The sequence below is a fragment of the Homo sapiens genome, chromosome 2 (assembly GCF_000001405.40).
Source record: "Homo sapiens chromosome 2, GRCh38.p14 Primary Assembly".
In the NCBI taxonomy this organism is placed as follows: Eukaryota; Metazoa; Chordata; class Mammalia; order Primates; family Hominidae; genus Homo; species Homo sapiens.
This window is the reverse complement of record NC_000002.12, coordinates 197,782,018-197,797,947: the sequence shown is the minus strand read 5'-3', so window position 1 is coordinate 197,797,947 and position 15,930 is coordinate 197,782,018. Positions and strand designations below refer to the sequence as shown.

General features: G+C 42.0%; 1 protein-coding gene across 12 annotated transcripts in view, besides 1 other annotated feature; it reads left to right on the top strand.

Annotated features, from left to right (window-relative positions):
• Positions 11,224 to 11,453: an enhancer, noted in NCBI's record as "active region_16944". NCBI's record gives its function as "activates an Ori minimal core promoter by ATAC-STARR-seq in GM12878 lymphoblastoid cells {active_cell/tissue: GM12878}" and the evidence as "EXISTENCE:reporter gene assay evidence [ECO:0000049][PMID:35858748]".
• The window catches only part of BOLL (boule RNA binding protein), a 59,317-nt gene continuing 55,128 nt past the window's right edge, over positions 11,742 to 15,930 (top strand). For 7 of the 12 annotated variants that reach the window (NM_001284358.2, NM_197970.3, XM_011511692.4 and 4 more), the window contains exon 1: positions 11,742 to 11,965. Coding sequence is in view for 9 of the 12 variants with exons in the window: in NM_197970.3 (NP_932074.1) it covers positions 11,945 to 11,965 (21 nt within the window). In the remaining 3 variants the exon portion in view is untranslated. Of the gene's footprint in view, positions 11,966 to 12,628; positions 13,320 to 15,930 lie in introns of those variants that run through there. The other 5 variants (NM_033030.6, XM_011511694.3, NM_001284362.2 and 2 more) reach the window with 3 other exon arrangements.

The following is a 15,930-nucleotide window of genomic DNA, read 5'->3' as shown; positions in this document are numbered from 1 at the left end:
TTCCATTTCTGTGACCCATTTTTCTCATTTATCTCTTTACTGCAAGCTGTGTAAGCCCCGATTCTGCCTTTCTTACTAGGTTTAGAAATTATAGCATAATGAGATCATATGTATGCTTTTTTGGTACAATTTGTTCTTCTTTTGCCTATCTTGGACATATCTTCCCTCTTCCACCCACATCAACCCTCCCCACTCCTTGCAAGGTAACTCAAGTTAACATTCATCTATGTATATGTATATGTGTGTATATATATACACATAAACAAAGTATATTTTGTCACTGTTTAGCAGAAAAAAATGAGGGGGAGAGATAATCTTATATATACCTGATATGGTTTGGATGTGCCCCACCCAAATCTCATCTTCAATTTTAGTTCCCATAATCCCCACTTGTTGTGGGAGGAACCAGCTAGAGATCATTGAATCATAGGGGCAGTTTCCCCAATCCTATCCTCATGATAGTGAGTTAGTTCTCACAAGATCTGATGGTTTTATAAGGAGCTTTCCCCTTCACTTGGTGTTCATTCATTCACATTCCTGCCACCCTATGAAGAAGAACATGTTTGCCTCCCCTTCCACCATGATTGTGAATTTCCTGAGGCCTCCCCAGCAATTCTGAACTGTGATCAATTAAACCTTTCTCCTTTATAAATGACCAGTCTCAGTAGTATCTCTGAAGCAATGTGAGAACAGACTTATAGAGTAAATCGGTACTGGTAGAGTGGGGTGCTGCTATAAAGATACTCAAAAATGTGGAAGCAACTTTGAAACTGGGTAACAGGCAGAGGTTGGAACAGTTTAGAGGGTGCAAAAAAAGTTAGGAAATTGTGGGAAAGTTTGGAACTTCTTAGAGACTTGGAGGGCTCAAAAAACAGGAAGATGTGGGAAAGTTTGGAACTTTCTAGAGACTTGAATGGCTTTGACCAAAATGCTGATAATGATATGGACAATAAAGTCCAGGCTGAGGTGGCCTCAAATGGAGATTAGCAACTTGTTGGGAACTGAAGTAAATGTCACTCTTGCTATGCAAAGAGACTGGTGGCATTTTGCCCCCATCCTAGAGATCTGTGGAACTTTGAACTTGAGAGAGATCTGAAATTGGAAATTATGTTTAAAAGCAAAGCAGAGCATAAAAGTTTGGAAAATTTGCAGCCTGACGATTCAGTAGAAAAGAAAAACCCATTTTCTGGAAAGAAATTCAAGCCCACTGCAGAAATTTGCATAAGTAATGAGAAGACAAATGCTAATTGCCAAGACAATGGGGAAAATGTCTCCAGGGCATATCAGACACCTTTGCAGCAGCCCCTTCCATCACAGGCCTGGAGGTCTAGGAGGAAAAAAATGGTTTCCTGGGCCAGGCCCAGGGCCCCCCTACTGTGTGCAGCCTAGAGACTTGGTTTCGTGCATCCCAGCCACTCTAGCCATGGCTAAAAGGGGCCATGGTACAGCTCAGGCCATGGTTTCAGAGGGTGCAAGCCCCAAGTCTTGGCAGCTTCCACATGGTGCTGACCCTGTGGGCCCACAGAAGTCAAGACTTGAGGTTTGGAAACCTCCACCTAGATTTCAGAGGATGTATGTAAACCCCTGGATGTCCAGGCAGAGGTTTGCTGCAGGGGCAGAGCCCTCATGGAGAACCTCTGCTAGGGCAGTGCAGAAGAGGAATGTGGGGCTGGAGCCCCCACACAGAGTCCCCACAGGGGCACTGCCTAGTGGAGCTGTGAGAAGAGGGCCACCATCCTCCAGACCCCAGAATGGTAGATCCACCTACAGCTTGCACTATGCACCTGGAAAAGCTGCAGACACTCAATGCCAGCCTGTGAAAGCAGCCAGGAGGTGGGGGCTGTACCCTGCAAAGCCATGGAGGCTGAGCTGCCCAAGGCCATGGGAACCCACCTCTTGCATCAGTGTGCCCTGGATGTGAGAAATGGAGTCAAAGGAGATCGTTTTGGAACTTTAAAGTTTAGTAACTGCGCTATTGGATTCTGGACTTGCATGGGGCCTGTAGCCCCTTTGTTTTGGCCAATTTCTCCCATTTGGAACAGGTGTATTTACCCAATGCCTGTACTCCCATTGTATCTAAGAAGTAACTAACTTGCTTTTGATTTTACAGACTGATAGATGGAAGAGACTTGCCTTGTCTCAGATGAGATTTTGGACTTGGACTTTTGAGTTAATGCTGGAATGAGTTGAGATTCTGGGGAACTGTTGGAAGGGCATGATTATGTTTTGAACTGTGAGGACATGAGATTTGGGAAGAGCCAAGGGTGGAATGATATGGTTTGGCTATGTCCTAATGCAAATCTCATCTTGAGTTGTAGTTCCCATAATCCACATGTGTTGTGGGAAGGACCAGGTGAAGATACTTGAATCATGGGGATGGTTTCCCCCATCCTGTTCTCACCATAATGAGTAGTTCTCACAAGATCTGATGGTTTTAAAAGGGGCCTCCCCCTTCACTGGGTATTCATTCATTCTCCTTCCTGCCACCCTGTGAAGAAGGACATATTTTCTTCCCCTTCCATCATTACCATGAGTTTCCTGAGGCCTCCCCAGCCATGCTGAACTGTGAGTCAATTAAACCTCTTTCTTTTATAAATCACCCAGTCTCAGATAGAATCTTTGCAGCAATGTGAGAACAGACTAATACAATACTCCTCTGCATTTTTCTTTTTTCATTCAATAAGAGCTAGTAAAAAATCCCACCACCTCTTCTGCAATAGCTACTTATTCATTCTTTTAAATAAGTGCATAGTATTTCCATGGTGTGAATATATCATAATTCATTCAGCCATTGCCTTATTTAGGGTATCCAATTTATTTCTAGTTTTTCACAACTACAAACAATGTTGTAAAAATCATTTTTATACACATATTTATGAACCAAAGGTTTTATTTGTATAAGATAGACTCCCAGGAGTCAAATTTTAGGGTCTAAGGCGTATATTTACCTTTGATAGATAATGCCTGATAGCTTTCCCAAAGAGCTACAATACTTCACATTCCACCTTAAAAGGTACTGTAGCTCTGATTAATTTCTGTGACTATTATAGGTATAAAGTTATAGTCTATTGTTATTTTAATTTTCACTTTCCAGATTACTAAGCATTGTTTCCAATGTTTCTTGGCCATTTGGTCTTGATCTTCAGTAAGTTGTCTACAAATGTGCTTAGCCCTATTTTCTATTGGATCAAATGCCATTTTCTCAGGATTTTGTAAGAGTTTTATGGCAAACATGGAGTTGCCACACCCAGACCCTGCTACGATAAAGGACTCAGTCCCCAGCTGCGAGGAGTAAGGTTCACTGACAGCCTGCAGCTATTCACTTATTCAGGGTCCACCTCAAATTTGAACCAAGATCATAAAGTTCTTCTTCAGGCAGCCCATGGCCAATGAATGAGTGAGGCAGTGATAGCTGAGGGCATGCCCTTCTCCATTTCCACCATCACAGGACTCCACCAACAGACATCCTTGCTCCACAGCTCCCACTTGGCTGGCTGAGTCAGCTTGTAACAGAAGTGATGGCACCACCTGCTCCTCCCTTTTCCCCCAAATATTTTTTGCACCCCTATAAACCTTTTGCACCCCTAACTCCATATGCTTCCCAGAGAACTCAATCAGCACATTGTAAATATTATCCTTATTATGTCATCTACATTAATAGCTATCTAGAATAATCCTTTATTAACTTTATGGAAACTTTTGCCTGCACATTATATTAATTTTCACAGAATCAAAAAATGTCTATCAGCTTGATTATAATTTTTGAGTCTCCACTGTTGATTAAAATGCAGTTTTCCACCCCTAGATTGTACATGTAAATCCTACCTTTTTCTGCAAGATTTTTATTTCTTTTTGAAACTATGTATTTGGTCTGTTTATAATTTATTTCTAAATTTGGTTTTTATATTTATATAAGTGTTAATGAGTGTGTATAAGTGTCAAATAAATTTTTTAAAATAAGATGGGGGTCTATTTTTATTTTCTTCCAGATGAATGTCTATTTGTGCCAACGCTATTAAATAATCCTATTGTCTCCTCACTGAATAGAATTATCCTTCTTGTCATATATCACATTTCTACATGTACTTCAATCTACTTTTGGATTGTCCTGATTCCCATCCAATACCAATTAAGTTGATTACAGTGACCATGTGTTATGTTCTAATATCCATCTTCCCTCTATATTGTAGATAGAGGGATTTCTGTAAAGTACAAATCTGACTTCCCGCTATTAAGATTCATTGGCTTCCCAGTGCCAGCTGAATAGAGTCCAGGCTCTTTGGCACACATGGCCATGGCTCCTATCTACATCCCTGGAATCCTCTCTGGCTACACCACTTCTCTTCTTTCACACTCTAGGACTATCAGACTACTTGAAATCCACTGAATACTAAATGCATTTCATGCTTTCACCTCTTAGTTATATGAAATCCCTTTCCCACCTCTCTTCCTTGAGCTAACCATCACTCCTTCAAAATTCATTTCAGACATTGTCTTTTCCAGAAAGTGTTTCCAAAACCCTCAAGTTACCATGTATTCTCCATTAATACCTTTTATACCCAGTGTACTATATTTACATCTTTTTAAGTGTGTCTGCCTTTTTAAGTGTGTATTTCCTCTGCCTTCTAGAACAAAACAAAACAAAAAAAAAGCAGATCTTGAGGACCATGCTCTTCTGTAGGAGTTTCCACACATTGTGTTTGCAAATTCTTGTTGGTTTTTGAGGACGCCCATCATTTACTATGTCTCTATGTTAGTATTTATGCACATTATAAAACATACACCAAAGAGTTTTAAGAAGATGAAGCAAATATTACTTTAAAATGTTTTGCTAATGGTGATGGCTTTATATCACCATTAGCTAATATCTTAAGAAACAATATCCATTTAGGGCCTTCTGTTGTTTATGGAAGAGGGTGTACATCCACATACTAAAAAGTCAATTTTGGGGAGCTGACTTCTTATAAGATATATTGTCATTGTTTTTACTTCATGATGTGGCTGAGGACGTGCTTGTAGTAAGAATAGAAGAAGGGAACGCTCTGCAATTTTTGAAATGTTCACTAGAATTATCTTTGATTTATGTTCTCTGGAATATTTAAGCCATGCATCCATCTTGAGTTAGTTTAATTCAAACTAACACAACATAATTTAAAATTCATTTAGCTGGGCTCATGGACCAGGCAATGAGTTGGAGCTGTCAACTTCTCCATGTTCTAGAACTCCCAATCTTCCCTCAAAATATTTTTACCCATATATGGACCAAGTAAGGGTAAGAGTGGAATCTACATATCAAACATTAGCAAAGCTTGATTTACTTCTTATCAATTTAGATAAATAAAAATATGAGCTCTAATATTTTATTCCCATATCCCTGGGGTACTACTGCTCTACCTCAATAGTTTAAGATAAAATATTGAATGTCTGTTATGTGTCATTACAGAGTTAAGTTCACAGTGTACAAAAATGAATAAGACCTGACACATATCTCTAATCATCAAATAAATGCAAATTAAAACTGCAATGATGTATCACCTCACATCTGTTATATGGCTATCATCAAAAAGGTGAAAGATAAGTGTTGGTGAGGATATGGAGAAAAGGGAAGCCTAGTTGGTGGAAATGTACATTTGTACAGTCATTTTGAAAAACAGTACAGAGGTTCTCCAAAAAAACTAAAAATAGAATTACCATATGATCCAGCAATCCCAGTTCTGGGTATACATTCAAAGAAACTGAAACAAGTACGTCAAAGAGATATCTGCACTCCCATGTTCACTGCAACATTATCCACAAAAGCCAAGATATAGAAGCAATCTAAGCGTCCATCAACAGATAAATGGGTAAAGAAAATGTGGTATATGTACACAATGGAATACTATTCAGCCTTTAAAAAGGAAATCTTGTCATTTGCAACAATATAGATGAACCTGGAGGACAATATGTTAAGTGAAATAAGCCAGGCACAGAAAGGCAAATACTGCATGATCTCACTTACATAGAGAATCTAAAAAAGTCAAACTCATAGAAACAGAAAAAGGGAGGACATTGGTCAAAGGGTACAAAATTTTACTTAGATAGAATGAATAAGTTTTACTGATACATTTCAAAATTGCTAAAAGAGTAGATTTTAAATGTTCTCACCACAAGAAAAATGATAAGCAGATGAGATGATGGATATGTTAATTCACTTGACTTAATTATTCCACAATATATACATATATCAAAATATCACATCGTACCACATAAATATATACAACTATGCACTTATAAAATATTTTTATTTGTCAATTAAAAAAAAGAACTACAGAACATCAGAGCTATTAAAGGACCAACCAGTGAGCTTTTTAGATTTGCCTACCACCAGGCTGGCAGAAGCTTCCGAGAGTGAGAACTTACAGTGTGCCAATGAAAAGGAATCTGTACTCTCACAAATTGTTATGGGAAAATCAATCAGGAGAAATCAATTAAAATTTAGAATCCACATATCCATTGAGGGGGAAAAGGAACAAAGAAAAAGGTTATCTGGCAATAATCAATTGTTCTTCACTCTTAATCCAGAAGGATGTCATAGTGGTCTAGAAGGACAGTTGTGTTCTAGCCATGAGCTAGCCTGTCTAAAGTACCAAGAAGTCTCCTAGTTTATATCTTAATGAAAAAAAAAGCCACCTCTTACTAAGCATCACAACTAAAACTTTCCTTTACAGTTAAACATGTCCAAATTCACTTCTGTGAGTTAAGGACAAGAAAGTAAGTATCTGATCTCATTCTACCGATAAGGATTAGAGGACAGTCCAGCTGGTGAGCCTCTTAATGGTCCAAATGTCTAAAGTAAGAATCAAATGGTGGGGACTTAGACAAAGTGTGGTATGGGGTGAGGCTTATCTGTTCATTTATTCCCTTATTCTACAAATATTTTTTGAGTTCATACTTTATGCTAGTCAGTAGGTTCTATATTGTATGTTCTTGTATCTAAGTAGTGCTCACAGTAAACAGCGTAAGCAAATAAATGAACTAATTTTTACCAAAAAAAATCCAATAAATCAAATATTGTTCTAGTCTTCGTCTCTGTAACAACCTCTCCAAGTCTAAGTGTTGTGCTCCCTGTAGGAGAAAAGAAGATCTGAGCTGTCCTCTTTGCTTTCTTAAGGCATTTTTTTAAACTCTATCCCTCACCTCTCCTATTTCAAACATCCAACCATTACAGAGAAAAAGAAAGCACCTAAAATCCTCCAAAATGAAACAATAAGTTAATAGATCTGGAAACAAGAAAAAAAATAAAATGGAAACAGAGGCATCTTCTAAACATGTCTTTTCATGTTGTTTTATCTACCAAGTTAAATCACTCCCTGGTCTGGGCTATCTCTGTACCTGGCAACTCTTCTACTGCCATGCTTAGCACAATGAATGTATAAACTTTTTACTTACTTAGCTGCTTCTTGCACTAGACCACAGGCTGCTTAGCTGCTTCTTGCACTAGATCACAGGCTGCCACTAGGTCTTGCTACCAGAGCAAGAACTAGGCCTTAATCATTGCTGTATCCCATGCCATAGCATAAAGCCTGCCCACAGGAGGAACAAAATAGTTATCCACATCTATAAACTAGAGAATGCATCCAAAGGGTTATCAAGAAAATGAGAGCCAGAAGTAGATATTAGGAGCTTCAATCTGAAGTTAGAAAACTCAAGAGGCAAGAAGGGAAGAACTGTCAACTAGGGAAGGCAAGAAAGAAGGGTAGTTGGGTAAATCCCTGAAACAAAGACTATGTTCTGAACAGATTGTGCGAAGAAAAAAGATGAGAAACATTGGGAACCTGGCAGAAAACTTAAGAAAATGGGATTTTTAGGTTTGCAATTTGTAATGTGCTATACTTTTATGTTTATCTTGGTAAACAGTATCTCCCATATGTGAAACCAGATTTCTGAATGAGCCTCACCAATCCCTCTCCATCATCACCCATGCCCAACAGTCTCAATTCCTCACTGGTATCTCTTTAACCTTTTCCCAGTGTTTGATTCTCACTCCTGTCACCTTTGTTCAGGTCCCCATTATTTTTCACTTGAATTGTTTTCTCCTCCAAATTCAACTATCTGTTTCCAGTCTGTGCCCCTCAAAAACTCTTCTTTGATATGAAAATATCTTCCTAAAATTTGGCTCTGATTATACAACTTCCTGGTTCAATCATCTTCAATGGTCCCTATTTACAAAGGTCTCCAGAATAAAATTCTCTTTATTGCCATAGTATAAGTAACATGACAAAGTGCACTGAGCCCGAACATAAATCATGCTACTGTAAAGACACATGCACACGTATGTTTATTGCAGCACTATTCACAATAGCAAAGACTTGGAACCAACCCAAATGTCCATCAATGATGGACTGGATTAAGAAAATGTGGCACATATACACCATGGTATAATACTATGCAGCCATAAAAAAGGATGAGTTCATGTCCTTTGCAGGGACATGGATGCAGCTGGAAACCATCATTCTGAGCAAGCTATCGCAAGGACAGAAAACCAAACACCACATGTTCTCACTCATAGGTGGGAACTGAACAATGAGAACACTTGGACACAGGGTGGGAAACATCACACCCCAGTGCCTGTTGTTGGGTAGGGGGCTGGTAGGGGGGGGATAGCATTAGGAGAAATACCTAATGTAAATGATGAATTAATGGGTGCAGTAAACCAACATGGTACATGTATACCTATGTAACAAACCTGCACGTTGTGCACATGTACCCTAGAACTTAAGGTATAATTTAAAAAAAGGAACAAAGTTTTGAAAATGACATCCACCACTTACTAGCAATGTGACCACGAGAGTCACTTTTACCTCTCTAAGACTCAGGTTTCCAATGAGAGAGAGAAAAAGAGAGACTAAGAAAAAGAGAGAACTAAGACTTAAAAAGAATGTGGCTAGCCCAGCATTAGGTACATGATGCAGGCTCAATATCTTTCCCTCAATTTTTCTGCCCAGACCAGCATTCCAGCCTTAACAATGCCCTTACCCAGCCCTGGACACTGTGCTCTATGATGCTATCCTCTGTTCTCCCACAGACCGTTGATCATTGTTAATATATCACTCAGCCTGTTATGCCTGTATTTTATTTTCTTATAAGCATATTTATATTATACTGTTTGGAGTAATTAGTTTTTTCTATCCTTCTAGATTTAAAATGCTTTGAGAACAGAGGTTTGACCTTGTTCTTCAAGCTTGTCCAACTGGTGGCCCATGGGCCGCATTTGAATGCGGCCCAACACAAATTCGTAAACTTTCTTAAAACATTATGAGATTTTGTGATTTATTTTTTTAGCTCATAAGCTATCGTTAGTGTTTATGTATTTTATGTGTGGCCCAAGACAATTATTCTTCCAATGTAGCCCAGGGAAGCCAAAAGATTGGACACCCCTGTTCTTCATCTTCATATCTCCCACATTATATTCCATTATGTACTGCACAGAATAGGAACTCTGTTAAGTGTCTACTAAATTGGGGTGCATTGCATAATTTTATGTGGTTTATCCAAGTTTTAAAGCTGAACTTTCCTTTTGGTGTAAGAATTAATAGTAAGAGGCAGAACAGAGAACTGCCACACTGAAAATAAAGTATATCCCTCTAGTACCCAACACCAGCCTTGAAATACAGTTAGCGTTCCCTAAATTACGTAAATTTTTGTCAGATTAAACACCTACTGCGCTGAATACATTTTTTAAGAGAATGTAGTTCTTGAAAATAAGTGTTTTTAGTCAAAATGTTTTGGGCAAGAGAGGATAGTAACATCTACCCAAATCCAGCAACAGTCCTAGGAAAAAAAAATGCCCAAAGAAGATTAGTTCTACTGGTATTGAACAGTAAGATTATTATGCTTTAGAATATGAGTTTTCATCTAAATAGGTTTGTATTCTCGATTTCCACAGAGACTGAAACCTGGTAAAATGAGCTTAAATTGCATGCAGAAATGTATAATGACTTTAGGGATTCTTCGGGTAAGATAAACAAAAATTGTTTCCCATTTTATTTTGGGTAAAATAATATGAAGAGCTAATCTTTGAATAAATCAAAAATTAATATATTCACTCTGTTTTTAATTCTATATCTTGAAGGCAAAGTAACCCAAAGTCAAACTTTTATAGTAGTGTGTACAATAGTTATTACTGGTGTAAATTTTAACAGTTGTTACTGCTGATTCTTTAAAAATATGTGGCAAAATGGTTATGATCAAGAACTGTGGGTTGGGGGGGAGACGAGGGTTAAACCTCCTACAGCTTTAGATCTTGACCAAATTACTTATCCTTCAAATCTCTGCTTCATCACGTACTATGACGATAATTGGAGCATCTATCTGAAAGGTTGCTGTGAGCATGAAAAGATTAAATGATACTGATCATAAAGCATTGTGCCTGAAACAAAGTGAGTACTTGATAAATGGCAGCTATAATAATGATAATCATTACTATAAGTTTATCCAGTTGTAATCATTTTAGCTACCTACTAGAAATACGTATTATTTACAAAGCAGTCTTCTTTCAGCCAGGCATGGTGGCGTGGGCCTGCCTGTGGTCCCAGCTACTCAGAAGGCTGAGGTGGGAGGATCGCTTGAGCCCAGGAGGTCGAGAATTCAGTGAGCGTGATCGCACCACTGCACTCCAGCCTGGGCGACAGAGTGAGCCTTCGTGTCTAAATAATTAGTCAACTGGACGGGCACGGTGGCTCAAGCCTGTAATCCCAACAATTTGAGCGGCCAAGACAGGCAGCTCACTTGAAGTCAGAAGTTCAAGCCTGGCCAACATGGTGAAACCCCGTCTCTACTAAAAATACAAAAATTAGCCGTGGTAGCGGGCGCCTGTAATCCCAGCTACTCGGGAGGCTGAGACAAGGAGAATCGCTTGAATCCGGAAGGCGGAGGTTGCAGTGAGCCGAGATCGCGCCACTGCACTCCAGCCCGGGCGACAGTGCGAGACTCCGTCTCAAAAATAAAAATAATTAGTAAATTAATTCATTAATTTAAGAAAAAAAGCGCAATCTTCTTCCAAAGGCGATCCCAAGGCTGTTGGAGGCTGAAACCGCTAAGTCGCCCCCTACCGCGCGGGTGGCTTCGTCCCGGACCCCTCCAGAGGCTGTGCCACTGCTGGAGGTGCTCAGCGGGGCCGGGACCCGCTTGGGGCGCCGTCCGGGGCGAGCACCGGAGCCCGACTGGGCTGAATGGCAGGTCCTGACCAAGCCACCCGCGCGGCCCCGCCCGCCTGGCGGGATGAGTGACGGCGGCAACAGGTGCAGAGCGGCGTCCGCGGCTTCTCGGGAGCCCCCGAGTTTTGCGAGTCAGGCCCCGAGAGTCAGAGTTTGACTCTAGAACCTTCTTCGCTTTACACCAGTCTTCGGAAGTCGCCCGTCAACCGGCTTCTTCTACCTCAGTAAAGCCTTAAGGTCACCTCAACCTCTCGAAACCCACCAGTCCCAGAGGCCGACTCTTCTCAAGTGGAGGAGAGGGGAAGGCGTGCATGGAGCTTTGCCTGACCGCTCGCTCTCTCCTCCCCAGCCGTCTGAGAGAAGGCGAGAGGGGTCCCAGAACCGAGCCCTCGCTCCGCACGCCCCACGCCCGCCCCGCTGTGCCGTGCGCTCTGCCCCTGAGACGCCCCGGCTCGGAGTCCCAGGGCCACAGCCGAAACTCGCCCTCCCGCGCCCCTCTCCGGCTTGCAGCGCCCGCCCGCACCGCCACCTGCCACCCGAGGCGACGCAGTCCGCTTCTCCCCACCCGCCAGGTGGCAGGTTCAGGGCCGGGGTCCGAGCCTGCTTCCCTGCAGCTGCCACAGCCACCCTCGCCGCCAGGGGGCGAGAGTCCCAGGCAGGACAAGCAGCGCTGCTGCCTTGGCGTGAAGGTGGTTTCAAACTTTAGGCTTCTTTTCCCTACCCCGCGTCTCTGAAGAGCAGAGAGGAAGATGGAAACCGAGTCCGGGCCGGTGAGTACGGCGATCAGGGCCCCAGGGCGCGGGATAGCGGGGAGAAGGAGCAGCGTGGAGCCTGTCCCTGAGGGCTTGGAGGGGCGAGGTGAAGGCCCCAAACGCTCGCTATCTGGTTGGGAAGAAACGTGGCCAGGTGCCCCATCGACCGCTGCCAGGAGCCACCCGCCCGCAGACCTCGTCTGGCTGTGTCATGGGGGTCAGAAAGGCGCCGCCACGGGGCCTGGACTGGGTGTAGACGGGCCAGGGGACCTCAGGCGTGGATGTTTCGGGAGGCGGCGGGCTGCCAGGCACCCAGCGAAGTCCGAGCAGGTAAACCGCTTTCCCGCCGAAATTGGGCTAGGCAGCGTCTTTGACGCTCCCTGCGGCCGAACTCGACCCAGCCGCCCAAGGCGAGGAGTTGCCAGGGCGGTCGACGCCTCCACTCCCCGACTGGTCAGCGAGGACCGGAAGGTCTGAGAGACCTGGCAGGGCCCGCCTGTGGCCCAGGCGGGACCCGGACACTCTAGCCCTGGCTGTGCACCCAAGCCAGTCAGGGTGGACTTGGGGAAGTGAAGGAGGACTGCCCGCACAGGCCCGAGGCGCAGCGGCAACGTGCCATCCCGCCCCGCCCCGTCCCGCCGCCAGCAGCCAATCAGGGAGCGCCGCGCGAGGGTGGGGACCAGCTGCGCACGAGGCCAGCGGCGGGGTCGCTGCCGTTGAGGCTTCCCGCCACTGCTGCTGGCGGATTTGTGGGGCAAAATTTCTCGCTGGCTAGCCTTCTTTTCCCTCCCGCACTTTGGTGGGGAGGGGGTGGATCCTCGTTTCGGTGCCCAAGTTCACGATGACCCGAGAGAACTCGAGGAAGTTGTCGCCGCGGCCATTTCCCCCAGTGCCGCAACTTGCTGGCCTTGGAGGGGGAGGAGCGCCGAGGCAGTGACTGCGACGGTTAGCCCGCCCGTTCCTGCTGTCTTCGTTTGCAAAATAGATGCTAGATCTCGAGGTTGATTCTCAAGGGGAGGGGCCAGTGAGGGCACATTGCTTTGGAGGAGTAGTTTAATAAACTCTCTAGTGCTGGAAGTTTTAGCAAACGGAGGAGCCTTCAAACCCGGCAACAGTCCCCATCTAGGTGTTTCCGTAACACATGCGGAATTATTGCTAGTGGAATTTCAGGCTTTCTTTGTTGTTTAACTCAATGCATCGCTAATTGTTTATAATGAACTTAGATGTTGCCTCCACCTGAGCCTTGCTATTGCTAACATTAAAATATTTTGTAGGCCTGGCGCGATGGCTCCCGCCTGTAATCCCAGCACTTTGGGAGGCCAAGGTGGGCGGATCACGAGGTCAGGAGATCGAGACCATCCTGGCCAAAATGGTGAAAACCCATCTCTACTAATACAAAAAAATTAGCTGGGCGTGGTGGTGCGCACCTGTAGTCTCAGCTACTCAGGAGGCTGAGGCAGGAGAATCTCTTGAACCAGGGAGGCGGAGGTTGCAGTGAGCCGAAATCACGCCACTGCACTCCAGCCTGGCGACAGAGCAAGACTGTCTCAAATATATATATATATATATATATATATATATATATATATATATATATATATATATATATGTATTAGACTGCTGTTATACTGTATTCTTTAGCCTTCAGCCTATTTGGCATATCATGAGCAGGTCTCTCCTGAAGAAATGATTCACTTTTAGTCATTCAACAGATATTTATTGAGCACCTGCTGTGTACTGTCAGTACTTTAGATGCTGCCATGAAAAAAGCAAAACTTCTGCCCTGGTGCATTACATAATAGTGGAGACAGATAATAAACATACTAAGTAAACTATATCGTATGTTAGAAAATGATGAGGGAGAAAACTTAAGCAGAGCGAGCCCACAATAGAGCCTTAGAGAGTGGAGGAGAATGAAGTGAATTGAGTGTGAAAGGTTGTTTTTCTTTTCTCAGGGAGTATCCTTTAGTTTCTCGAGATTGGAAATAAAGCACTGTTTACTTCCGTTCATTTCATCCTTCTCTCAATGAAATATAATGGGGTTTGTCTTTTACTTAAACTTGCGAACATATTAGTACATCTTATTTTCAATAAGAGAATTTCATGAAGAATGATTTTTTAAATTTAGCAAATAGGTAATTTTGACACTGTAAACAAATGGGCAGAAAGACAAGATTACATCTACTAGAGCTGTTATATTATCTCTAGCAATACAAAATCCATAGTTGAAAAATACTAAGCATTCCAGAATTACCCATTCTGAGCATTATATCCTACTGAGCGAAGTGACTGAAGTCACAAATAACCTCCAAGTGCCCAGAGAGAAAGCTGTTAAGATTAGATTCCCAGTTTCTTTCATTGGAAACTACAACATAGTAATTATTAAATGTGGTGGCTTTTCTGTGTTTTAAAAGAAGTATTTACATATTCCCTTATTAGGAGTACATACTTCCTTAAGGCTGGATGGGGAAGAGAGCCCATAAGGTCCAGCCTATAGCCCAATTGCCACTCCTGCCCTAGTCATTTCTCTGTACATCTTGCAAAGATTAATTTAGGGATTGTGATTGTATTGGCCAGAGAAGAAAGAGCAGAACAAATTTGAAAAAGAACAACTTTATTACCTGAGCTGGAGATTCATTTTCATGAGTTTGTTTCTCAGAGAATTGGAATTATGAACTTCAAGCTTTTGTTATTTTCTTTTTCTTTCTTTTTGAGATGGGGTCTTTCTTTGTTGCCCAGGCTGGTCTCGAACTCCTGATCTCAAGCAATCCTCCTGCCTCAGCCTCCCAAGCAGCTGGGATTACAGGCACAAGCCACAACACCCAGTTTACTTCAAGTTTTTTGAAGCACACATTTAGGATATTATGGGGTTTGTCTTTAGGATATTATGGGGTTTGTCTCAGAAGTGTGTTTAGTGTTTCCAGATGGAAAATAATTCACCAGTTCTTGAATTGGTTTCTCTTCAATGTGATTCTCAAGTCTTGGGTTTTTTTTCAGTTATACCTTAAAAGTCTATTATCTTACCATTCTGCAAAGGCTTATACATTTATATATATTTATTAAAATTTAAATTATGTCCTCTAACTTAGAATTGTGAACATGTGGATATGTACTGAGCTAATTCTTTGGAATAAACATTTATGAGCTACAAGTATATAATTTTTTAACAAAATCAGTCCAATCTTCAAATTGACAAGTGCATTTAAAATTTTGACTTTCAGGCTGAAAATGGTGAATGTGAATGTTAGAGTTTATTAACTTGTCGATGACCATTAGTTAAAGACCACCAGGAACACATGCGTCATTTAGTAAAGTTGGGTCTGTTAATTGTTCAAACAAGGGAAAACATAAACCATGGGGCCTCTCAATCAGAAGGTGTTAGAACTTACAGGATATAGGCTTCTGTTGAGCAATTTCTAGAGAGGGTTTAAGGAAGTAGGGCTTTACTCTGGAATGTATAGCGTCAGGAAATGGTAGTAATTCTATGATTGGATGTGTTAACTTTTATCTAAAAGGAAAGAAAAATGGATCGAGGCTAAAACTATAGCTGATAAAGAAGGAGCAGTCACTCATATCAGCCAGAATGGAGGGTTGTTTGGTTATTCTTGTGGTTTGGGCAATGCCTTTGTTTTTGTCAGCATTCAAACATGATTATGGAGTGGTCTTGTTTTTAATCTTGATCCATCAGAGTCACAGGGTGACTTTGTCTGATGTTGGTGTTCTGTTAACAAGAGAACACCACAGCCTAGCTGTGAGTGCCAGGCCAACTCCTAACAACACCAGGGTGTAGTTGATTGTGTCAGGCTGGGACTGTTTTCTCTTTCTCAAACATGTTCATGAGTTTAATATTCCCCTTAATAATTAAGTAATAGGTTTGATAATAATATAAGCATTTTAAGTAATATATTTAATATTTAAAATCTCTATAGTGGAGTAGATTCTGTGTTTCCTAGTTCTGTTGCCTTAAAAAGCTCTTAGCTCTA